A 25,831-nucleotide genomic window follows, 5' to 3' on the forward strand; every position below is an offset into this window, starting at 1 on the left:
CTACAGGCATGTGCCACCACACTTGGCTAAATTTTTAAAAATTTTTTTTTAGAGACAGGGTCTTAATATATTGCCCAGGCTGTTCTTGAACACATGGGTTCAAGAGATTCTCCCACCTCAGCCTCCCAAAGTGCTGGGATTATAGGCGTGAGCCATACACCTTGCCTATTCTAGATCTTAACCCCTTAGCAGATATATGATTTGCAGATATTTCTTCTCATTCTGTAGGTTGCCTTTTCACTATTTATTGTCTTTCGATGTGCAGAAGTTTTTTAGTTGGATATAGTCCTATTTGTCTATTTTTGCTTTTGTTACCTCTGCTTTTGGTGTTGTATTTAAGATATTACTGCCAAATCCAATGTCAGAGAGTGTTTTCTTCTAGAAGTTTTATAGTTTTAGGTCTTACGGTTAGGTCTTTGATCTATTTTGAGTTAATATTTGTGTACAACATAAGGTGCGGCCCAACCTCACTCTTTTGCATGTGGATATCCAGGTTTCCCAGCACCATTTGTTGAAGAGACTGTTAGATTTTTTTAAATGCCCTGAAATGATTAGTTTGTAAGATTTTCTATTTAAAGGATTGTTACACATTGAAATTTAGCTTTAATGTTTTCTTAGTTATTGATATGGATAGAATTTCAAGTTTTGCAGGAATTATGCAGAATATTTTAATTAATAGTAAGATGTAATTTTTAAGTGGTCATTTAGGTCTTGTTTGTTTATGGAGTTGTTTTTTTGTTTGTTTCTTTGAGACGGAGTCTCACTCTTGTCACTCAGGCTGGAGTGCAGTGGCGCAATCTCAGCTTACTGCAGCCTCTGCCTCCCAGGTTCAAGCGATGCCCATGGCTCAGCCTTCCAAGTAGCTGGGACTACAGGCATGTGCCGCCACACCCCGCTAATTTTTGTGTTTATAGTAGAGAGGGGTTTCATCATGTTGGCCAGGCTGATCTTGGACTCCTGACCTCAGGTGATCTCCCTGCCTTGGCCCCCGAAAGTGCTGGGATTACAGGCGTGAGCCGCCACGCCTGGCCAGATTAAAATTTTAATATAAGGTAATTTCCAAGTAATTCTGTATATCTTTTCCAATGCTTAATATATACTAAAATGTTGGTTGCTGTGAGCTATTTCTTTAAAAAAGAAAAAAAAAAGGTAATCCAAAATAAATATGTGGAAATCATTTGCATAATTTTTCCCGTCCTCTTTTGCTTGTAGGGAAGCAGCTCGAGAGTGTCGTAGAAAGAAGAAAGAATATGTGAAATGTTTAGAAAACAGAGTGGCAGTGCTTGAAAATCAAAACAAGACATTGATTGAGGAGCTAAAAGCACTTAAGGACCTTTACTGCCACAAATCAGATTAATTTGGGATTTAAATTTTCACCTGTTAAGGTGGAAAATGGACTGGCTTGGCCACAACCTGAAAGACAAAATAAACATTTTATTTTCTAAACATTTCTTTTTTTCTATGCGCAAAACTGCCTGAAAGCAACTACAGAATTTCATTCATTTGTGCTTTTGCATTAAACTGTGAATGTTCCAACACCTGCCTCCACTTCTCCCCTCAAGAAATTTTCAACGCCAGGAATCATGAAGAGACTTCTGCTTTTCAACCCCCACCCTCCTCAAGAAGTAATAATTTGTTTACTTGTAAATTGATGGGAGAAATGAGGAAAAGAAAATCTTTTTAAAAATGATTTCAAGGTTTGTGCTGAGCTCCTTGATTGCCTTAGGGACAGAATTACCCCAGCCTCTTGAGCTGAAGTAATGTGTGGGCCGCATGCATAAAGTAAGTAAGGTGCAATGAAGAAGTGTTGATTGCCAAATTGACATGTTGTCACATTCTCATTGTGAATTATGTAAAGTTGTTAAGAGACATACCCTCTAAAAAAGAACTTTAGCATGGTATTGAAGGAATTAGAAATGAATTTGGAGTGCTTTTTATGTATGTTGTCTTCTTCAATACTGAAAATTTGTCCTTGGTTCTTAAAAGCATTCTGTACTAATACAGCTCTTCCATAGGGCAGTTGTTGCTTCTTAATTCAGTTCTGTATGTGTTCAACATTTTTGAATACATTAAAAGAAGTAACCAACTGAACGACAAAGCATGGTATTTGAATTTTAAATTAAAGCAAAGTAAATAAAAGTACAAAGCATATTTTAGTTAGTACTAAATTCTTAGTAAAATGCTGATCAGTAAACCAATCCCTTGAGTTATATAACAAGATTTTTAAATAAATGTTATTGTCCTCACCTTCAAAAATATTTATATTGTCACTCATTTACGTAAAAAGATATTTCTAATTTACTGTTGCCCATTGCACTTACATACCACCACCAAGAAAGCCTTCAAGATGTCAAATAAAGCAAAGTGATATATATTTGTTTATGAAATGTTACATGTAGAAAAATACTGATTTTAAATATTTTCCATATTAACAATTTAACAGAGAATCTCTAGTGAATTTTTTAAATGAAAGAAGTTGTAAGGATATAAAAAGTACAGTGTTAGATGTGCACAAGGAAAGTTATTTTCAGACATATTTGAATGACTGCTGTACTGCAATATTTGGATTGTCATTCTTACAAAACATTTTTTTGTTCTCTTGTAAAAAGAGTAGTTATTAGTTCTGCTTTAGCTTTCCAATATGCTGTATAGCCTTTGTCATTTTATAATTTTAATTCCTGATTAAAACAGTCTGTATTTGTGTATATCATACATTGTTTTCAATACCACTTTTAATTGTTACTCATTTTATTCACTAAGCTCGATAAATCTAACAGTTACTCTTAAAAAAAAAAAAAAAAGACTAAGGTGGATTTTAAAAATTGGAAACTGACATAATGTTAGGTTATAATTTCTCATTTGGAGCCGGGCGCAGTGGCTCACGCCTGTAATCCCAGCACTTTGGGAGGCCAAGGTGGGTGGATCACCTGTGGTCAAGAGTTCAAGACCAGCCTGGCCATCATGGTGAAACCCCATCTCTACTAAAAATACAAAAATTAGCCAGGCGTGGTGGCTGGCGCCTGTAATCCCAGCTACTCAGGAGGTTGAGGCAGCAGAATTGCTTGAACCCAGGAGGCAGAGGGTTGCAGTGAGCCGAGATAGCACCATTGCACTCCAGCCTGGGCGACTCCATCTCAAAAAATAAAAATAAAAAAAATGTCTCATTTGGGAAGGAAATTCCTTTTAAAAAAGAGTTGAGACACTTAGAAAACTAATGTTTTATATTTAGTCAAGAGTTATTTAAGAAAGTCAAGCTTGTTTAACAACAAAATATGAAGATTTAAGTGTTAATTGCTGGATCCATTTTAAAATAAGATTTTAATTAACATTTGTAAATGGTATATTTTCGTTTGTAACAAACCATTGTCTTTTTTCAAGGATGAACAGAGTTTATGAAGGAGCATCATTCTAAGAATTAAGTGATGTAGTCTTTATGTTTGGACAGTTCACCAGATTCTCAAGAAGGCTTTCAAACAACTATAAAGTTTGATGTTTGTCCTGCTGAGCTAATGGGGAAAGTTATAGCATAAAAATTGTGTAACCGCATAGATATGTCATTTTTAAAAACTGGTTTAACAGAAATCAAGCAAAGTCACAAATATGTTCACAAGTTGGAATTATTTATTGAGTCAAAATGTCGAATCGAACATTTTGAATGAAGTAAGTGTTATAAATGAAAAATTGCCTGATGTTTAGCAGTTTGTATTCTCTAAAGCTTTTTTTCAAAAGTTCAGGCTTTCTACTTACTGGGAAGTTGGTGGTCCTCTTAGTCCCTGATAAATCAAGGCAATCACATTCATGTGAGCTGGATGAATTTATAAGTTATAAAGACCTTATCCTTCATACCTTGAGGATGATTGCACTGGTTTTGAAGTCAGTTGCTTAATGATGAGGTGAGAAATGTATCCTGTTGCTAAATCTGTCTTAGACCCTTGGTGAAACTTGAAGATTTCAGTTTATAAAGATAAAATCAAGCATCTTTTGTGCAGTTTTCTTTTTTTAATGCAAGAATGGTGGGGAGGTTTGTTTGTAAGCATGAAACTTTGAGAATCTTTATTAAGAAAATGACATAATTTTTAAAAACCTTGTAGCCAAGAACATATGTGGCCACATTACCAGTAATAAATGTTTTTCTCTTTATATTGGCCAAAAGGGAATAAAAATGTCATCATAGGAATTTGTACATATGCTACTGATTTGCCTAGAAAATAGCAAGTTTGATATTGCTCACTTTGCAAATATAGGGCCATGTGGCACTTTTATCTATAGGACAGATTAATAAAAATGAAGTGGGGAGGGGTTTATTTTTGATATATTACTCTTATGAGTTTTCAAGCTTTGATAATGTTTAACTGAAAAGTGGCTTAGAAAGGGCTAGATCCAATGTGTTCATTATTAAATAATTGCTATCAGATACAATTTTAAGTTCATTCTTTTTCAAACTCAAGTACCATATTGGCAACCATAATATTGTCATAGGTGCTCTCTTCATTTAGATATTCTTGGGGGGGGTGGCATTTGTATAATATATGTGTACATATATATATATATATATATATATACATACAGTATATAATCTAAAGCTCTGAGAGCTCTTAAGTCAGGAATGCTGAGTATTATAGTATATTGAGGTCAGATGAAATTTTACATTTTTGTGTGTTCTGTTGCATTCCTTCTGGTAGTTTCTATGACTGCATTACTCCAGCACTCATGATTGATTTTATCTTCTAATTTTCTTCCAAGTATTTTATTTTTTATTAGTTTTCTTTGGCTTGATACTTTTAAATATGTTACTAGTCACTTGAAAGCCTCTCCCCCAAAAGTATTTGGTTTGTATGCTTTGTCTGTGGCAGCTATAACAGTGGTAAGAACATTTTGAAGATAGCTTTTTAAAGGAACCACTGATTTTTTCAAAAATCATCCTGGGGGAGGAATTTTGGCATTTCATTTGAGCAGGGATTTTGTCAGAAAATGTGTTTTGATGGTAGGTCAGCAGCAGTGCTAGTCTCTGAAAGCACAATACCAGTCAGGCAGCCTATCCCATCAGATGTCATCTGGCTGAAGTTTATCTCTGTCTCTCAGGATAAATCCCTGTAGGACAAATCCCTACTATCATTTCTACCTTTTGGGGTGACATGTGGAATCATACAAAGGCTTAGGAAGAAATACGTTTGTTTAAACCAGGATGCTTTACTTACTTGAAGTGACTTCAATCTAGATTTCTTTTAATATTTAACAAATTTTTAATTCTATGATCAGCCACAGTCAGCTATTACCATAAATTGGTCTCTGTTTATTTTGAAGATCACGGCTGCTTCATTTTGCAGGATTAAGTAGGGCTAATGTATCTTAAAGTTAAGATCTTGAATTAAAGTGAGTTTTAGAAATAGTGTTACATACCTTTTCAGTTGTTTTCAAGAGGCTTTATTTTTGTTGCCTTTGTAGCCCTGAAAGCTGTTGGTATATTTTTTCCCTCATGGACCCAATAGAAAAGTTGTATATTTATTTGGATTATATTTACATTCTGTCCTTTGTAAATGTTTGGTGTAACTTGCACTTTTTTAAATGACCCAGTTTGGGTATTAGCAACTTAAGAAATTCCCTCATCAAGTAATTCTCAACTTTTTAGTCTTTCTCCTCTCTTCAAATCATGTGACTTTTTAAATGGAAGTTTTTCATTGATTAAAATATTTTAGCACCTAAAAGCTAGCCTTAAAAACAGCTGTAAAAGAAAAACATCAGGAAATTAGATATGACTAGCCCAGTTAATTAAAAGACGGGCTCAAACCTTGTTTTATTCTTTTTCATCTTGGATGAAGATTGAAGGGAAAATAACTCAAGTGCATAATATTTATTTTCAATTTTTAATGAGACTTTATCCTCATCACAACATTAATACTGTACATAGTATGCCAAAATATCCATTAATTTGTCTAGAATAGTACAAGACTTTTTAAAGCAATTGTCCTCACAGAGACCACATGTAATATACTGAAATATGTTCATTTTTAATGGCTTTGTTAACATCAAAGAAATGCTGCCTAAATTTGATTTCAGATGAGGAAGGAGAAAGTAAAGTGTGCATAGTAAGGCTGTAGGTGAAGAGTTGTGAGATAAATAGTTCACTCAGTTGTACAAAGCACAACTAGAACTTTTTGTTGGGAGGCTTACATACATCTTGAATATTCTTAATGTAATAATGTTGACTATTAAGTTGGCTACACAGTCACTGTATGTACTAGGAACTGGTTTCCTTGACATTCTAGAATCAATGGCTAGGAGAGGCATTAATCTTTGAGGGGCTGAACATATCATGAAGCTGAGTCAGTATGGAAAATTTTCAAATAAACAGGGTGCTGAAGTTCCATCTGTCTCATCTGCTTATGATAAGTTCTTATTGATTAGTGAATGTAGCTTAAGCCTTTGTATGTGTCCTCAGGGGGCAGACCGACTTTAAGAGGGACCAGATAACGTTTGAATGGAGGGATTATATTTCAGGTGTTTTAGCTTGAAATTTATTTTTTAAAAAAAGAAAAATTTAAAAAATATATAAATAAAATAGAACAAAGCCGGTGATGCAAGTTGATATTATAAACAGGCAGTTTTAGCACAGAAAGAAAATACTGACCTGTCTGCATTCTGGTACGGTGGGTGCAGGTCCCAGCTGGGTATGACATGATACATTTTTAATTATTCTCACCAGCAAGTAAAAGGAAAATGAACAATCTTTTGGAATTGTCTTTGAAAAGGATCAAAGAGTAGGAAATTCACATTTGACCTAACATTACTTGCCTATAGAAGTATGGCATTTCCAAGCTTTTGTCTGAGGAGCATCTCAGAGAAGTGAGAGTAAATCTGAGTTAGCTTAAAAATTGGTAGGGAGGAAGAAAATCTCTGCAAATAATGATTTTATGTTTGTTGGCCAAGTGAAATGATCTATCATTGTGTTTGGGAGGTTTTATTTTCTTATGTTTTTAAAATTGGTAAATGCTTTATAGATGTATTTTTATCCAAGTGCCACTCCAATTTGTGTATGTAATAAAATTATTTATATTAAAAGTGGGAAATAATTGTCAACATTTTTTTTGAGTATAGATTTATTAGGGGTGGCAAAGAAGAGTGCTAGTTAGCAGTTTTCCATGTAAAGTTGTCCTTGACTGATTTGTCCACATGTCAGTTGTAACTCCCCCACTCCCTGCAAAAGGAATTATTTCTAACCCAGATGTATCACTTGAAACTTTTTAGAAGCAAAATAATCAGGGAAGTTCCTAGAAAGGTGTTTGGCTTTTTGGTTTTTGAGGGTTGGGGTAAAGAAGACTTCCCCCACAACTGTCAGCACAAAACAGGGTATTGATTTTTAACTCTGATGTTTCTATTGGAGTTGAATACTAAATAAATAACTATAATGAGGGAAATACATTTCTAATAAAATTCCCTACATTCTAGAAACATCCCTGTTTTAATTTTTTTATCTAAATCTTTTTGTGCTTTATGTGTAAAGAAAAAAATGTACTGAGTTACAATGCATTTTATTAACACTATGTACATAATAGCTGCTTTGTGTTCAGAATAGTAGCAGTTGCTTTGTATATTAAAGTGATCCTTGTGAATTTGTGAAATATTGTCATAAAGTGCTTTTTCTTACTGTAATCTTTGTGGTATCAACTGTCATAATGCTCTTTTTACACAAACATTTATGTGCAGTCACATAAACATGCTTTTAAAAACTCTGTAAGTCTCTTTTTTGGGGATGGGATCTCTATATTTTGTTGGGTTTTTTTTGCTAGTAGTGTGAAGCCATGTTTTATTGGACTTAAAGTTACAATATATTACAAGCTTGTGTTGGAAGGCAGCAAAACTAATTCAGACAACAACATGTCTTCAGTTACTGGATCCCTAATTTTCAGGACAAAACCTGTTTTTCAATAAGATTGAACAGTGCCTATTTGTGGATTTGGAGATGTTACTGTCAAGATGACTAATGGAGACATACGACCAGCTGTGTCTGATGTCATAAAACACGTGTTCACTGAAAGGACAATAAGACTATATACCTTCTCAGGTCCCCTTGCAATTCTAAAACTCTGTGATCATATAAATTGGAAGGAAAGGGGAGGGGATATGGTTAATCTTTGCTTAAGCTGTAAGAATAAAAAAGTTATCTCCTATACTATTAACTTCTGAAATAAGTTCTGAGACGAGACATCTGAAAATAAGCAGCTGCATTATTTGTATGTTTCTTCACTGCCAAGATGTGTTCAAGCCTGCTATACCTGCCATTGTATTGGAAGGCTTAATGAATTTCATTTATTTTCTGCAACAACGATTACAGAATTTATTGCACAAAATGAGACATTTTGAGAGTGATATTAATTACATGAGGGACAATAGGCATGAACTAGGATTGTTCTAAGCAAATCGGAATCGGGTCACCCTGCCACGTTCAGGTGCTTGGACCTTCAGGAAAAGATTGCCCATCTTGTCATTTGACCAGGCACTGAAGTGACAAGACCATCCTTGAGAAGTCACATCCAAAGATAAAATTCTGATCCATTTCTAGTTTTAGTGTTTCGCCACTGAAGACTTAACATATGTCTTTTACACTCAGGTTGCAAAACACAGGCCCAAGACAAACTTAACTTCTCCCCCAAATCTTCCTTCCGCTGGTTTTTCCATCTCGTAAGTGGTGCCACTATCCATCTGTTAAATTGTTTAGGGGAAACCTAGAAAAGCACTACCTTAATCAGTGTTATCCTTCTTCTTAACTGTGCGTCCTAATTTCTCCACATCTTTCTTAAGTGCAGTGACCAAACCGGATGAGAATTCTAACACGGGCCTGACATCAAATGGAAAGGAAGGATAATGTCCAGGAGTTGGAATGTTATCCTTGTTTTTAATTAAGATGCAATTCACATAAATTAACTTTTTAAGTGAACAATTAAGTGGTAGTACATCCACAATGGTGTACAACCACCACTTCTATCTAGCTCCAAAACATTCTCATCACTCCAAAAGTAAAGTCCCGTTACTCTCCATTTTCTCCTCCCACCGCCCTTGTCCCTGGCAACCACCAATCTGCTTCCTGTTTCTTTGGATTTACATCCGGGTATTTCATGTGAGACTCATACACTGTGTATTACTTCTTTCGTCTAGCTTTAATGTGTTGTTGAGGTTGATCCATTGTAACATGTTATCACTACTTCATTCCTTTTTATAGCTAAGTATACTTTTTATAGTAAGTATGCCATTGTAGATATATACCACAAGTTTATCGATTCATCCAGTTGAGTTGTTTCTACTGTTTGGCTAATGTTCATAGTGCTGTTATGAATGTTCGTGTACAAGTATTTGAGTCCGTGTTTTCAATTATTTGGGGTATATGCCTGGGAGTGGAGTTGCTGGGTCATGTTGAAATCGCACATTTAACTTTTTGAGGAACTGTCAAACTTTCCCTCAGCAGCTGTACCGTTTTACCTTCCACCATTGATGTATGAGGGTTCCAATTTCTCCACACCTTCACCAACACTTATTTTGCCATTTTAAAAATTATAGCCATCCTCATGGGTGTGGTCTCTCATTGTGGTTTTGATTTGCATTTCCCTGATTACTAATGATGTGGAGCATCTTTTGTTGTCTTTGGCCATCTGCGTATCTTCTTTGAAGAAATGTCTGTTGAGGTCCTTTGTTCATTGAAATTTTGTTGTTGGGTTCTGAGTTCCTTATATATTCTGGGTACTAGGCCCTTATAATATTTTCGCCTATAAGTTTTTGCTTTATAATGTCCTCATTGTTTTCAAACTTACTTTATGTAATATGTACACTTCTAAAAAAAAGAAACATGGAAAAGGGCAAACTGTAAGAAGTTTTTTGTGTTATGTTTTTTGTGACAGTCTGTGCATATATACACAAATATAATGTATGTTCTCTCCTCCTCCCTCTCCCTTTTTTTACACAAAAGGTAGGTACAAACAGTGGTTTATAAACTGCTGCCATTGTACAGATACAGTTTAACCAGTCCTCTTCTGGGGACATTTGGCTGTTTGAAATTTTTTACTGTTACAGATATACAGAGGTTGGTAACTAGGTCTACACAAGTTGTATCTCCAGGATACTGAGAAGTAAAAGTTATTTCTGAATTATGGTTTTCTTCATATTTGGATATTGTTTCCTAATGATTATTAGGTATCTGCTAAGCAATTTTTATTAACTTATGTTGATTACTATTTTTATGTCAAACTTTACAGTCTAGGCATTTTTTTCTGGAATTAAAATTAGAAGTGGCACAGACTTTCATAAGGCTTTCCTTTTCTCATCTCTGTTAATACTGTTTTCTTTCTAATATCCTCAGAAATAACTGTTCTTAGCAAAGAAACAAGTTTTCAATATGCCATCTTTTCTAGTGTTACTAAATTTTTAACCCCTCTGGTTGTAGAAGGAAAGGTGTAACATGATTTTAGAGCAGAAAGCTAACAATTAAATCTTCAAGTTGGGCCGGGGTGCGGGTGGCTCACGCCTGTAATCCCATCACTTTGGGAGGCCGAGGCAGAGGAGGGCAGATCACCTGAGGTCAGGAGTTCGAGACCAGCCTGACCAACATGGTGAAACCTCATCTCTACTAAAAAATACAAAAATTAGCCAGGCATGGTGGCAGGCGCCTGTAATCCCAGCTACTCGGGAGGCTGAGGCAGGAGAATCACTTGAACCCAGGAGGCGGAGGTTGCAGTGAGCCGAGATTGCGCCATTGCACTCCAGCCTGGGCGACAGAGCAAGGCTCCCGTCTCAAAAAAAACTTCAAGTTTTAAGGTAAAACAGAGCTAAGGACTGTCCGGTGTCATGCTGTTTATGTCAGTGCTAAGATAGTACAAGTTTCCAGCTTCCCAGAGGAGGGTTCTCTATACTCACTGTACTTACCAATTCATGTTAAAGACCTTGAGAAAGCTACTTCTCTCTAGGTAGAGGTTCTGGGGAGCAGTGAGGTTGTGACTTCGTCTAACACTAACACAAATTACAAGTCTGTTTTACCAACTATTAAGTGAAGTCCTATATCTAGGGCCACTTAACAGTACTGGGGTACATTATATAGTGATTTTTTAAAGTACTTTAAAATTTTATTTTTGTTCATTTTTAAAGAATTGGCAGTAAATGCTTCCCATAAATAGCAATTAAATGGTATTATTATTGGAGGTGAATCTTTTGCATTATGGTAATTTTGTTATTCAGCATATGCCTTGATACTTTAATATCCCTGAGAATTTATTTCTCCCATACCTTCGGCAAGGAGAAATAAAGCACATAAATTAGGCATATGGTAACTCATCTGTAAAGGAATGTGTATTTTTCATGAGTCAGTGTGAACTCCCTTTTTGAACAGGGTACCATGTTACCACTTGAAATACAGAATATAAGGTCGGGCCTGGTGGCTCACACCTGTAATCCCTGCACTTTGGGAGGGCGAGGCAGGTCGATCACGAGGTCAAGAGTTCAAGACCAGCCTGGCCAATATAATTAAAACCCCATCTCTACTAAAAATACAAAAAATTAGCTGGGCATGGTGGCAGATGCCTGTAATCCCAGCTACTCAGGAGGCTGAGACAGAAGAATCGCCTGAACCCAGGCAGAGGCTGCAGTGTGCCAAGATCACACCACTGCACTCCACTCCACCCTGGGTAACAAGCAAAATTCCATCTCAAAAAAAAGAAAGAAAGAAAGAAAGAAAGAAAACGATATATGGATATATGCTATCATCCTTGCCTTCTAGGAGCATAAATTGTATTTGCTAAGATAAAACATTCCAAATAATGTTATTCTGCCCTGAGTTTGCAATCTAGTGTTCAGTTAACAGATAAAAGCATTTTGATCAACTACTATTTGAAGATGGTATCCAGGCCATCTACCATGAACTAAAGCAAGCTACCCTTTAAGTGATAATCTACTTCAAAAACAGCATTCTTTACAGTGGGGTTCCAAGAACCTGGTATCATACATACATTTTAACATAGCATCTTGGCAGCAGTATTTGGTATTAATTGGGGGAAAAATTAGTGATACCACTGGATTATTTAACTGCATAACTTTAAAGAAATTGGGCAATGTGAGTGAGAATCAAGACTTAGTAAAATAGGTTTGGATTAGGTTTCTATCTTTGAAAACAAAACAAGCACACTTAAAATGTACATTTATGTGATAAAATATGTAAGTAAAAAATAAGTCCCAACTTCACTGACATTGGTAGTGGACACTGTGGTGTGCTGCCCAGATACGCGCGCTCGCTCTCCTCTCACACACACCCCACACCTGAAACACTCATTTCCCCAGCTTCCAGGAATGTTGGTGGCTGATGGCTCCCAACTGACTCCCTCTCCAATATTGTCTTCAGCCTCAGGTTATAAACCTTGTATCCACTAGTCCATGCAGGGTCATAAAGGACCATCACCCTGCCTCAATATGGCCTAACTGCAGGACCATCTCAGCTCTAAAGAATTAGCTGAGGACTTCCCCGACTACATCCCAGCCCAATTTCTTCCTCTTTCCCAGTCTGTCTTCTTTCCAAGATCAGAATATTGATCTTGGAAAAAGCATTCCCATATGAACTTTTCACACCCTAATCTCAATCTTTGAGTCTATTTCCCCAAGGAACCTGACCTGCAACAACATTCTAAGTCCAAAGCCAAGAAAATCACTTGATTTTCACTTGGACAACCCAACTATTTCTGATGATTTTTTTTTTTCTTGCCTGTGCTTCTAATTTGTAGGGCAAGGGAAAAAAGCTGCCTTCAAATTTTTCTGATTCTTAATGTTTTATGAAAACAGAAAACAACCCAATAACAGCTTACCTCATTTGGTAGATCACCCAGGGATATTATTGAAGCTCCCCACCTCTAACCCACCCTGCCCCATCCACGTTAACTTCCATCTCCAAAGTTAATGAATCTTAAAGAAACTGAACTCTGCCGGGCGCGGTGGCTCACGCCTGTAATCCCAGCACATTGGGAGGCTGAGACAGGTGGATCATGAAGAGATCGAGACCACCCTGGCTAACACGGTGAAACCCCATCTCTATTAAAAATACAAAAAATTAGCCGGACCGTGGTGGCAGGCACCTGTAGTCCCAGCTACTCGGGAGGCTGAGCCAGGAGAATGGCGTGAATACGGGAGGCGGAGCTTGCAGTGAGCTGAGATCGTGCCCCGCACTCCAGCCTGGGTGACAGAGCGAATATGCATTCCCAATAACATACCTAAGTGGGACTGGCTTGTCATTATGGTGTTGGTGATACTGCCAGGCTTTATTTTGTTTTAAACAATCTTTCATATTCATGGTGCAGTACTGACATTTTATGGATTCAGTAAGCTATGGACATTTCCATTTCATGTGTATTAGAATTGTGTTGAACTGGTATATCACAGAATGCTCACAACTTTTAATCCATCTTTATTAAAGTGAAACTACTACTTCAATATATGCAGAAAACAACATATTGGATATTTTCACCTCTGGGATAAAGGTTCAAAAGGAAGAGAACGTCCTGTTTTTAAGATTTTATAAAAGAAATCTATCTCTAGTACCAAATACCATATTGAGATTATAATATTCTTGCAGTCTAAATTTAAGCTATTGTTTAAACTTTTGCATTGTAAAAAGAAAAGTTCATGTGTGTGTGTGAGATGTCAAAGTGTATCATAGATAATCCTAAAACAATATAACAATCATTTAACCCAAAGTCAATGCCCTTTAAATGGAATGTATCTTTTTCATTATTTGGTTATGAAATATACAGAAGGTACTGGGGAAGCAACAATGGAAGAGGCAGAAGCATTCTTGGCCCTCAAGGAGCTTACACTCTACAGGGCAATACTACCACTGAATGAGCAATTACAAGTCCAATACAAAAGGAGCTTATATGTAGGAAGCTAACCTCTCAGGCAGGGATGAGATTTAAAACTTTTAATGTCATCCTATGCGTTGTTAAGGAAGCAGGGAAAGCTTGGGAAAGAACTGCATTAAGACATTTGAGCAAGGGTAAAACAGAAGGGGAAAACCTCAGCTCTTGACTTGAAATAGAAAACCTATTCCCTCCCTCTCCCTCTCCCTCCCCCTCCCTCTCCCTCTCCCTCTCCCTCTCCCTCCACGGTCTCCCTCTGATGCCGAGCCAAGGCTGGACGGTACTGCTGCCATCTCGGCTCACTGCAACCTCCCTGCCTGATTCTCCTGCCTCAGCCTGCCGAGTGCCTGCGATTGCAGGCGCGCACCGCCACGCCTGACTGGTTTTCGGTTTTTTTTGGTGGAGACGGGGTTTCGCTGTGTTGGCCGGGCTGGTCTCCAGCTCCTAGCCGCGAGTGATCCGCCAGCCTCGGCCTCCCGAGGTGCCGGGATTGCAGATGGAGTCTCGTTCACTCAGTGCTCAATGGTGCCCAGGCTGGAGTGCAGTGGCGTGATCTCGGCTCGCTGCAACCACCTCCCAGCCGCCTGCCTTGGCCTCCCGGAGAGCCGAGATTGCAGCCTCTGCCTGGCCGCCACCCCGTCTGGGAAGTGAGGAGCGTCTCTGCTTGGCCACCCATCGTCTGGGATGTGAGGAGCCCCTCTGCCTGGCTGCCCAGTCTGGAAAGTGAGGAGCGTCTCTGCCCGGCCGCCATCCCATCTGGGAAGCGAGGAGCGCCTCTTCCCCGCCGCCATCCCATCTAGGAAGTGAGGAGCGTCTCTGCCCGGCCGCCCATCGTCTGAGATGTGGGGAGCACCTCTGCCCCGCCGCCCTGTCTGGGATGTGAGGAGCGCCTCTGCTGGGCCGCAGCCCTGTCTGGGAGGTGGGGAGCGTCTCTGCCCGGCCGCTCCGTCTGAGAAGTGAGGAAACCCTCTGCCTGGCAACCGCCCCGTCTGAGAAGTGAGGAGCCCCTCCGTCCGGCAACCACCCCGTCTGGGAAGTGAGGAGCGTCTCCGCCCAGCAGCCACCCCGTCCGGGAGGGAGGTGGGGGGGGTCAGCCCCCCGCCCGGCCAGCCGCCCCGTCCGGGAGGTGAGGGGCTCCTCTGCCCGGCCGCCCCTACTGGGAAGTGAGGAGCCCCTCTGCCTGGCCAGCCGCCCCGTCCGGGAGGGAGGTGGGGGGATCAGCCCCCCGCCTGGCCAGCCGCCCCATCCGGGAGGTGAGGGGCGCCTCTGCCCGGCCGCCCCTACTGGGAAGTGAGGAGCCCCTCTGCCCGGCCAGCCGCCCCGCCCGGGAGGGAGGTGGGGGGGTCATCCTCCCACCTGGCCAGCTGCCCCATCCGGGAGGGAGGTGGGGGGGTCAGCCCCCCGCCTGGCCAGTCGCCCCGTCCGGGAGGTGAGGGGCGCCTCTGCCCGGCCGCCCCTACTGGAAAGTGAGGAGCCCCTCTGCCCGGCCAGCCGCCCCGTCCGGGAGGGAGGCGGGGGGGGGGGGGGGGGTCGGCCAGCCGCCCGGTCCGGGAGGGAGGTGGGGGGGGTCAGCCCCCCTTCCGGCCGGCCGCCCCGTCCGGGAGGTGAGGGGCGCCTCTGCCCGGCCGCCCCTACTGGGAAGTGAGGACCCCTCTGCCCGGCCAGCCGCCCCGTCCGGGAGGGAGGTGGGGGGGACAGCCCCCCGCCCAGCCAGCCGCCCTATCCAGGAGGTGAGGGGCGCGTCTGCCCGGCCGTCCCTACTGGGAAGTGAGGAGCCCCTCTGCCTGGCCAGCCGCCCCGTCCGGGAGGGTGGTGGGGGGGTCAGCCCCCCGCCCGGCCAGCCGCCCCATCCGGGAGGTGAGGGGCGCTTCTGCCCGGCCGCCCCTACTGGGAAGTGAGGAGCCCCTCTGCCCGGCCACGACCCCGTCTGGGAGGTGTGCCCAGCGGCTCATTGGGGATGGGCCACGATGACAATGGCGGTTTTGTGGAATAGAAAGGCGGGAAGGGTGGGGAAAAAATTGAGAAATCGGATGGTTGCCGGGTCTGTGTGGATAGAAGTAGACATGGGAGACTTTTCATTTTGTTCTGTACTAAGAAAAATTCTTCTGCCTTGGGATCCTGTTGATCTGTGACCTTATCCCCAACCCTGTGCTCTCTGAAACATGTGCTGTGTCCACTCAGGGTTAAATGGATTAAGGGCGGTGCAAGATGTGCTTTGTTAAACAGATGCTTGAAGGCAGCATGCTCGTTAAGAGTCATCACCACTCCCTAATCTTAAGTACCCAGGGACACAAACACTGCGGAAGGCCAAGGCCGCAGGGTCCTCTGCCTAGGAAAACCAGAGACCTTTGTTCACTTGTTTATCTGCTGACCTTCCCTCCACTATTGTCCTATGACCCTGCCAAATCCCCCTCTGCGAGAAACACCCAAGAATGATCAATAAAAAAAAAATAAATTAATTAAAAAAAAAAAAAAAAAAAGAAAACCTATTCAAGATTTCAGGTGCTTTTTTTTTTTTTTTTTTTTTTTTTTTTTGAGATGGAGTCTCGCTCTTGTCCCCCAGGCTGGAGTACAATGGTGCAATCTCAGCTCACTGCAACCTCTGCCTCCCAGGTTCAAGCGATTCTCCTGCCTCAGCCTCCTGAGTAGCTGGGATTACAGGCGCCTGACACCACGCCCGGCTAATTTTTGTATTTTTAGTAGAGATGGGGTTTCACCATGTTGGCCAGGCTGGTCTTGAACTCCTGACCTCAGGTGATCTGCCCGCCTCGGCCTCCCAAAGTGGTGGGATTACAGGCATGAGCCACCGCATCCGGCCAGATTTCAGGTGCTTTTAAAAAGTAACTGAAATTTTATTTTTACTTAATTCCTTTATTTATATATATATATATACCTGAAATTAAGGCAAAAAGCATGATATGAGACCCAAAAAAGCTCATATCCTACTCAACTAAAAGTGTTTAGGACCTAAACAGGGCAAAAGATTTAAATAGCACTAACAGCTCAAGGAATGTATAGGTTAAACCTTTTGTTTTACATCCAGAAAATTAGAAAACTCAGCTAAACATTGTATATATCACAAGGTTTTAAAAATAATTTGTAAGATTTAATCTTACCAAGAAAGCTTACTCATTTAAAGACTTCTTTATACCGGCCCTTCATATCATCAGTGGAAACTGTTTATTAAAAGGGAGGAGTATGGGATACACAAATAGCATAAATCGAAATCTCACACTTAATCCTTTAATGTTAATTGCATTTCAGACTGAGTAAAGTCTGACTAAAAATCACAGCAATGGGACAAAGCACTGCTTTGTTTTAAAACTGCACATGTGCTTTCTCCCCTGAGAACCTTTGGCTTAGACTTTTTGTACAGTAAGACATTTCATTAAATATGGTTAGATTTGCAGTCTAAGACCTTAAGTGACACACTCAATGACAACATTCTTATAAATTATAGCCAATTATAAGTCCTCCTTCTGGTTTCTCTTCTGTGCTTCGTAAATATGTACATCTTTTTCAGGATCGTAGTGAACCTTTCTCACAGTAAATTGCCTCTCCAGCATTGCTAAGAAGTTGTTATCCCGTTCATAGCGAATTCGGCATGCTAAAAGAATCACAGAGTGATTGCTACAGAGATGTTCCAGTGTCTGAAGAAGATCTGTGAATGTTTCTTCTAAATATATGATATCAGCACCAAGTATCAGGTCAAATTCTCCAGGAGAAAAACTCCCCAAATTTTGTCCCCAAGTCAGCTCCTTAACAACAGTTTTAGTTTGGATATGAGGAGGTAAGTTGGCTTGAACGTTTGATTTAAGAAATTCTAATGCTACTTTTCGATCCGTGATAGTCACATGAGCACCTACAATGTGGAACAAAGAAAAAGTGATGTGTACATCAGTACAATTCTGTTAGGTAGAGAGGGGGTCAAGTTAAATGTAGAGTGTCTCTTAAATATTGCATCTGATATGCATAATATCAATCACACCTTTCATGGACAGCTGCAATAGAAAAATGACTCACAGCTCCTTTTGCATTAACTACTGGTAGAAGTGACTCTTGATTTGCCTCTATGACATACCTGCTATTTGCTAAAATTGTGCCTATAAATTGCAGAATTGGCTGGGTGTGGTGGCTCATGCCTTTAATCCCAGCACTTTGGGAGGCCAAAGCGGGTGGATCACCTGAGGTCAGGAGTTGGAGACCAGCCTGGCCAACATGGCCAACTAAAAATACAAAATTAGCCAGGCATGGTGGCGGGCACCTGTAATCCCAGCTACTCGGGAGGCTGAGGCAGGGGAATCACTTAAACCTGGGAGGCAGAGGTTGCAGTGAGCTGAGATCTCGCCACTGCACTCCAGCCTGGGTGACAAGAGCAAAACTCCATCTCAAAAAAAAGTAGAATTAACCAGTGACACGGCTGATGCTTCTGAATTCTGCCAACAGAGCTGGCCCATACTTTATTCATTGGGTCATTATCTTTAAGTCAGTTGGCCGCAGGCTAAAATGGAATCCAAGAATGAAATATCTGGGAGCAGGCCAGGTACAGTGGCTCATGCCTGTAATCCCAGCACTTAGGGAGGCTGAGGTGGGAGAAGCCCTTGAGCCCAGGAGTTCAAGACCAGCCTGGGTAACACAGGGAGACTCCATCTCTACAAATAATTTTTTTTAATTAAGCACAGTGCACACCTGTGGTCTTAACTACTCAGGAGGCGGAGGTGGGATATCATGTGAGTATGGGAGATCGAGGCTGCAGTGAACTGTTATTGTGCCTGGGCAACAGAGCAACACCCAGTCTCAAAAAAAAAAAAAATATCTGGGAGCAGACTATTATTGCAAAGATGACAAGATACCAAAAACAGAGAAAGGCTGTTTTGTAAGGTTACAGTTTAAAAAAGAATCATGGAAGAAATAAATTGGCTACTAAGAAATCCCAGTCCACTTCTCCTTAGGCTGTTATGAAGCAGCCAACTTACATGTTTTACGTATTTCTTGAAAAATTGTAAGCTTAAAAATTACTTAATTTTATTAATGTAGGTTAAAATGCTTGTTCTTAATGCTAAGTTTCTACACACAGTGTAGAAAAACTAAACTGTTTCTTATGGGTTGTTGACAAAAAGATCCTTTTTTTTGAACCAATGTGGGTAAGAGAAGACCTTAAGGTGGAGCAAGCACATAAGGTCAGGTCGGATCCACCTCATCTACGTTGTAGGAAAGATATAATATGTGTAGTACTCTTTACTTCTGACCCCAGAAATTCTGAAATTTAAAATTATGTTTCAATCTTTCATAAAATTCTTTCCATTTGCATCCTTCTTCAGTTTGTAATCTTCATAGGTAATCTTCCCACAGGATTCCAGACTAGTTGCAATAAGCACTATTTCAGTGGCAGCTGATACTCAGTGTTTCTTATCTTGACACATAAGTTAGGGCAGTAATTCAATTTGACATTTACAGTCCTACTATGAGATACTGATGAAAATGCTCAAGTTGTTAGATTTTACAAGCCTGAACCTACCACTTTGACCATTCGTTGCTAGACAGTGTGTTGCCCAATGGATAGATTTCAATGACAGTTTTCATCTTTTCTGAAAATAAAAATTGCAGACAGCCAGGCCGAGTAGCTCAACCTGTAATCCAAGCACTTTGGGAGGTCGAGGCAGGAGCATCACTTGAGCCCAGAAGTTCAAGACCAGCCCTGACAACATAGAGAGATCCCATCTCCACAAAAAAATAAAAAAATTAGCCAGGCGTGGTGGCACTATTCAGGAGGCTGAGGTGGGAGGATCACTGGAGCCCAGGAGGTCAAGGCTGCACTTAAAAGAACAACTTTAGGCCAGGCGTGGTGGCTCACGCCTGTAATCCCAGCACTTTGGGAGGCCGAGGCAGGTGGATCATAAGGTCAAGAGATCGAGACTATCCTGGCCAACATGGTGAAACCCCGTCTCTACTAAAACTACAAAAATTAGCTGGGCATGGTGGCGCGTGCCTGTAGTCCCAGCTACTCAGGAGGCTGAGGCAGGAAAATTGCTTGAACCTAGGAGGTGGAGGTTGCAGTGAGCCGAGATCATACCACTGCACTCCAGCCTGGCAACAGAGTGAGACTCCGTCTAAAAAAAAAAAAAAAAGAAAAGAAAAGAAAAGAAAAGAACAACTTTAACTTACCACTTAAAGAACAAGTATTTTCACTTACATTACTGTCATACAATTCAGTAATTTTTCAGTGATTATATATGTATTACATAAACACATATAGATTGGCTGCTTCATAACAGCCTAAGGAGAGGTGGACTGGGATTTCTTAATAGCCAATGTCTCTCTTCTATGATTGTTTTTTTTTTCCCAAACATACAGAGAGGGTTTTGCCATGTTGTCCAGGCTGGCCTCCAACCCCTGGGCTCAAGCAATCCACCCGTCTTGGCCTCCCAAAGTGCTGGGATTACAGGCGTGAGCTACTGTACTCAGCCCTATTATTCTTTTTTAAAATTTTAACCTCACGATACAGGCTTTCCCTATTTTTGGTATTTTGTCATGTGAGCAATGAGCCATGGTCATGCCACTGCACTCCAGCCTGGGCAACAGAGCGAGACCCTATCTCTTTTAAAAAAAAAAAAATGCAGACAGCCTTTTCCAAGGTTTGAGTTAGAACTGTATCTCTGAATTTCTTAACAGTACACAGAGCACTCTGCAGGCAATATTGGAGTGACTGAGTCATCTGCACATCACCTCAGTATTCATTTTACCAGCTCATAGATAAAGGCCTTCTCTAATGCCTGTCCCAGGCATTTCAAAGGCTACTTCTAACCTGGTAGGTATTCCAGAAGTCTGAATAGGATCTTAATGTCAGTTGACCACCCCCTGTAATTCCACACATATCTGAATGACTACCATCAGCCATGGAACAGAAACCTCTCCCCTCATACAACTTACATTCAAGTGAGAGATAGGCAGTAAGACGTTTTTTAAAAAAACAGAATATCCGGCTGGGTGCGGTGACTCACGCCTGTAATCTCAGCACTTTGGGAGGCCAAGGCGGGTGGATCACCTGAGGTCAGGAGTTCGAGACCAGCCTGGCCAACATGATGAAACCCTGTCTCTACTAAAATTACAAAAAATTAGCCAGGCGTGGTGGCAGGCGCCTGTAATCCCAGCTACTCAAGAGGCTGAGGCAGGAGAATCGCTTGAACCCGGGAGGCAGAGGTTGCAGTGAAGATCGCCCTACTGCACTCCAGCCTGGGCGACAAGAGCGAAACTCCCATCTCAAAAGAAAAAATAGAGTGAAATCCAGCAGCAGCATTTCCTTCAGCCCCACTCAGCCACAGAGGCACAGACCAGGGACAGTGGAAGGCTGCAGTTAACCTGGCTTGTTTTGAAGCAAGGAAAGGCAGGGAGTCGGTGTCAACCGTACATGAAGATGGTGATAAAATGACTGCCTGTGAGATTTATGCTGGGTAAGGAGGGTGAGACAGTATTTAGTTCAGAAAAGACTAGTGGAGACTGACCCAATAGGACAACACAGTATGCTGTCCATTAGTAATGGGAAAAGAATGTATAAACATGTGTCATCAGTTTTCGTTTTAGTTTTATAACACCTTATTTATGCAAACATTCGAGCACATACTATGTGCTAGAGATACAAAGATGAGGAAGAAAGTCCTTACCCACAGCTCAAAAGTCTCATGTGGGAGAGACACATAAACACAGTTGTGATGCAGTGTGGGAAGAAAAATAATAGAAACATGAGTGTGCGCAGGAAATCATGAGGTCACAAAGGAGAAATTCTTCAAGAGGAGCAGAGGTCAAAGAAAAAATCCCAAAGGAAGGGAAATCTGAGCTTACGCTTAAAAGATGAGGCATGAACCAAGGAAAAGGTGTGAAGAAAGGGCATCCAAGGCAGATGGGACAGGCCAGAGCAGGATGTGTGTCCCAGGAACTTCATGCACTCCAATCTTGCTGAGAAAAAGTGAGGCTGAAGAGTCAGGCAGGATGCGATAACAAAGCCTTACTAAGACGCCTGGGATTTAGCCTGCAGGCAGGCAGTGGGAAGGCAAACAAGTGTTCAAGCACAGGTCATGCCATCAATTTTGCATTTCAGATGGGCCACTCTGACAGCTATTGAGAAAATAGGTTTAAAAAGACGAAACAGAGGCAGACAGGCCAGGTGGAAGAGTGATGTGATCATGCAGGCAGGTGACAGATGATGAGAGCTCAAGCCAGGCAGTGGGAGTGGACAGAGAGAGACAGATCCAGGAAATAGTTAAAAGACGGAATCAGTGGGACTCCAAGGGGTAGGGGAGGTAGACGGGGAGTCAAGGAGTTGGGTGGGGGCGGTGACTACTTAGAAGGTGATGCCAACTCAGAATAAAGGAGGAAGAACAAGTTTAGAAAGAAAAGAGTTTGGCTTTAAACAGATACCATTTGAGGTGCTGGGAAATAGCCAGGTATAGATATCCAGCTTTCAGTTAAACACACAAGCCATAAGTTCAGCTGAGATTTGCACTCGAATTACAGGAAAATCAAAGACAGTATCTTCCTCAGCATTATATTTCAAGACAGTGGTCCCCAGCCTTGGCTGGGCATCAAATCACATGGGAAACTTTTAAAATTCAGATTCCCTGACCCCATCCCAATTTACAGAATCCTCCTATCTTCAAGATGGGGTGTTTTTATTCTATGGATACAGCAGTTCCCTCTTATCTGCAAGGGATATGTTCCAAGACCCCCAGTGGATGCCTGAAACCACAGATAGTAACAAACCCTGTATATAAGATGCTTTTTCCAATATGTATATACCTATGGTAAAGTTTAATTTCTACATTATACACAGTAAGAGATAAACAATAAATAATAAAACAAGATAATTATAACAATATACCATAATAAAAGTTATGGGTGGATCACAAGGTCAGGAGTTCAAGACCAGCCTGGCCAAAATGGTGAAACCCCATCTCTATTAAAAATACAAAAAAAAATTAGCCTGGTGCAGAGGCAGGTGCCTGTAATCCCAGCTACTCAATGGGCTGAGGCAGGAGAATCGCTAGAACCCGGAGGCGGGGGCAGAGATTGAAGTGAGCCGAGATCGCACCACTGCACTCCAGCCTGGGTGACAGAGTGAGACTCCATCTCAAAAACAACAACAACAACAAAAGGTATGTGAATGTGGTCTCTCTCTCTCTCTAAAAAATATCTTATCATACTCTAGTCACCTGTTTTCAGACCAAGGCTGACAGTGGGTAACTGAAGCCAGGGAAAGTGATCACAGGTGAGGGGGGACTGCTACAGTTCCAAGTACCATAAGACCAGGGAGATTTTCAAACTAAGAACGAGGATTTGAGAGTCAGATTGGATTCAAATTCTAAGCACAATCCATTAGCTTTGTGACCTCAGGCAAGTTACTTACCCTCCAAGAAGCCTCCCTTTCACCACTGGAAGGGCGCTATAAGTAGGTAAGGCCTACTTACCATGCAGGGTGACTGTGAGAATGAAAGGGTGTAATGCACAGTCCTCAGAACACAGGAACTACTCAGGAATTAGCAGCTGGTTTTTAACAGGAAAGTCTCATCACCCTATATTAATATCTACATAGCACCGCTTTTTTTTTTTTTTTTTAATCTTCTTTCTTTACCTCTACCCACTAAACTCAGAACGTAAGCTTCCGGAGACACCTGCCAGCCTGTTTATTGCCCCATCCACAGTGGACCGCCAGGCTTCTGGTGGGTTCTCCCCAAATTCAGGAATAAATGACTAAGGTTACAAAAAGAGAATATACTTTAAAAAGAATAATAATTAATCTCTTCCTGACATTTCAAAATCACTACCTATTCTAGTACTCACTGATTCTATTTTGAAGAGACTAACATTTTCTTACCCTCAGGCTCCAACAGCAAAACTTCTCCAACCTAACACTTTGTAGTGACTACAAATAGTGAGTATGAAAATCATACAGTAGCAGAGAAATGCTTATGACATAATGTGAAAACATCATTTGTATAGGTGTGTGTATACGGATACACAAAACACACATACGCAGACATATATATTTACATATATATAATCATAATTACAACTATGATTAAAAATACAGATGGAGAGAAACAAAACATACCAAAATGCTAATGGTAACTCTGGTGGTATCTGAAATATCTTATTCTGACTTTCCCAACCCCAGAGAACCAGATTGCTAGATCAGAAAAAGCAGTTACTCAGAGAGTAATCAACACTCGTGGAGCACTTCCTTTGTGTCACTCAGTGAGCCAGCAGATGTTATACACGCAATCTCATTGGTTCCTCACTGTGGAGTAAATATTACTATTATGCACAATGTACAGATGGGGTAATCAATGTTTAAAGGTTAAGCAACTTGCCCAAGGTCACACGACTAGTAAGAATGAAAAGAAATGTCAAAACCAAGTATAACTAAGCCTATGCACTTTGCTACACTAACATGTCTATACACCAGCCAAGAAAGTTTTGCATGAAGCCCTGGTTCTCAGGAGGAAACAGAAGAAACCTCATTTCCCCTTATAGTAACTCTTATATCAGCAGAGAGAGAAGTTGGTGTTACAGAAAAAAATAAAACAGGCCAGGCACGGTGGCTCACTCCTGTAATCCCAGCACTTTGGGAGGCCAAGGTGGGCAGATCACCTGAGGTCAGGAGTTCGAGACCAGCCTGGCCAACATGGTAAAACCCCATCTCTACCAAAAATAAAAAATTAGCTGGGCGTGGTGGCACATGCCTGTAGTCCCAGCTACTAGGGAAACTAAGGCAGGAGAATTGCTTGAACCCGGGAGGCGGAGGTTGCAGTGAGCCGAGATCATGCCACTGCACTCCAGCCTGGGCAACAGAGTGAGACTCCATCTCAAAAAATAAATAAATAAAATAAAATAAAATAAAATAAAATAAAACAACTAACTGTGTCTAACAAGCCTGGTTTTGAGTCCCAGATCTCCAGTGATCAGGACTTCAGAAAGTAGCTTCATCTCCCAGAATCCCAGCTTTGTTTGAAAAATGAAAATTAAAAATAATACCTAACATACACGGGAATGTTCTAAGGCTCACCTGAAAAGAATAAAAGGCAGTGTACCAGCAAGGGCTTCATCGATGACTTAAGTGCTGTGGTTGAAGACGGACGGAAACCTCTGTCAATTTACACAGACTTTCAACCACCACCCCTGCCCATGCTCCCTGTCGAATTTTGGAAAGCAGCAGCTAAGCAGAAAAAGAAATAGTGAAAAAGTATTGGGTTTCTGGAAAACAGGCAGGACAAAAGAGGGGCTTTAGCTGGTCCTCAAATATCTGTAGACAATGCGATGGGTTTAGAATACTCTGGAATCCTGGATCCTTCCTACCCAAGTGTAGTCTGAGAACCAGCAGTGTCGGCATCACTACTGACATTTCTACTGCTTGTTAGAAATGCAGGTTCCCAGGCCCTGGTCCAGCCCTGCCAAATCAGAATCTGCATTTTAACAAGAGCACCAGGTGACAATATGGAAGTGATAAACATTATACATTGTATCTTGAAAGCTGGTCTACCCTTATGATTAGATAGCTTGAACTATATATGTCAGAAGTTATAGAAATGAGTCAATAGTCAATAATAAAAATAACAATGAAGCCTAAAAATGCTCTAGCTCCAAGCCTCAATTAATGTGTGTATACCAAATTTTAAAATGACAAACTTTGATATCAAGTCAGAACTGTATACTGTTCATACAATTTTAAAAATAAGAAGTCAGTACAAACTATAGTGGGGGCTAGCCCTCCCTACAAGAGAAAAACCAGCAAAGTTTCCTCAGCAATGAAGAAAAGACTATCTGCTCTATCTCCCTCACAGGGTTAAATCAGATAGTGTATGGGAAAGAAAGCCCCTGAATGTGAAAAAAACTCTATACATGGGTAAGATTATTCTCCTTGAATCAACTCACTTTAAGATCGTATTATTGGCATCACA

At 41.0% G+C, this 25,831-nt stretch overlaps 2 protein-coding genes across 53 annotated transcripts in view, besides 1 other annotated feature; one reads left to right on the forward strand and one right to left on the reverse strand.

Moving 5' to 3' along the window:
• The window catches only part of CREB1 (cAMP responsive element binding protein 1), a 76,027-nt gene extending 65,740 nt beyond the window's left edge, over window positions 1–10,287 (forward strand). For 12 of the 15 annotated variants that reach the window (XM_011510646.4, NM_134442.5, XM_047443437.1 and 9 more), the window contains one exon: window positions 1,213–10,287. In XM_011510646.4, the coding sequence (XP_011508948.1) occupies window positions 1,213–1,256 (44 nt within the window). In that variant the 3' untranslated portion in view covers window positions 1,257–10,287. The remainder of the gene's footprint in view (window positions 1–1,212) is intronic. The other 3 variants (NR_135473.2, NR_163946.1, NR_163947.1) reach the window with 1 other exon arrangement.
• The window catches only part of METTL21A (methyltransferase 21A, HSPA lysine), a 45,419-nt gene that overhangs the window by 15,067 nt on the left and 4,521 nt on the right, over window positions 1–25,831 (reverse strand). For 5 of the 38 annotated variants that reach the window (XM_006712327.4, XM_005246337.5, XM_005246336.4 and 2 more), the window contains exons 4-6: window positions 24,940–24,993; window positions 16,367–17,742; window positions 13,413–14,064 (exon numbers count right to left, since the gene is read on the reverse strand). The exons of 17 other annotated variants lie outside the window; for them this stretch is intronic. In XM_006712327.4, the coding sequence (XP_006712390.1) occupies window positions 17,345–17,742; window positions 24,940–24,993 (452 nt within the window). In that variant the 3' untranslated portion in view covers window positions 13,413–14,064; window positions 16,367–17,344. Of the gene's footprint in view, window positions 1–1,377; window positions 1,414–13,412; window positions 17,743–24,939; window positions 25,090–25,831 lie in introns of those variants that run through there. 16 more of the 38 variants (NM_001393570.1, NM_001393569.1, XM_047443496.1 and 13 more) reach the window with 8 other exon arrangements.
• Window positions 24,112–24,201: an enhancer, noted in NCBI's record as "active region_17042". NCBI's record gives its function as "activates an Ori minimal core promoter by ATAC-STARR-seq in GM12878 lymphoblastoid cells {active_cell/tissue: GM12878}" and the evidence as "EXISTENCE:reporter gene assay evidence [ECO:0000049][PMID:35858748]".

This window comes from Homo sapiens, chromosome 2 (assembly GCF_000001405.40).
Source record: "Homo sapiens chromosome 2, GRCh38.p14 Primary Assembly".
Taxonomy (NCBI): Eukaryota; Metazoa; Chordata; class Mammalia; order Primates; family Hominidae; genus Homo; species Homo sapiens.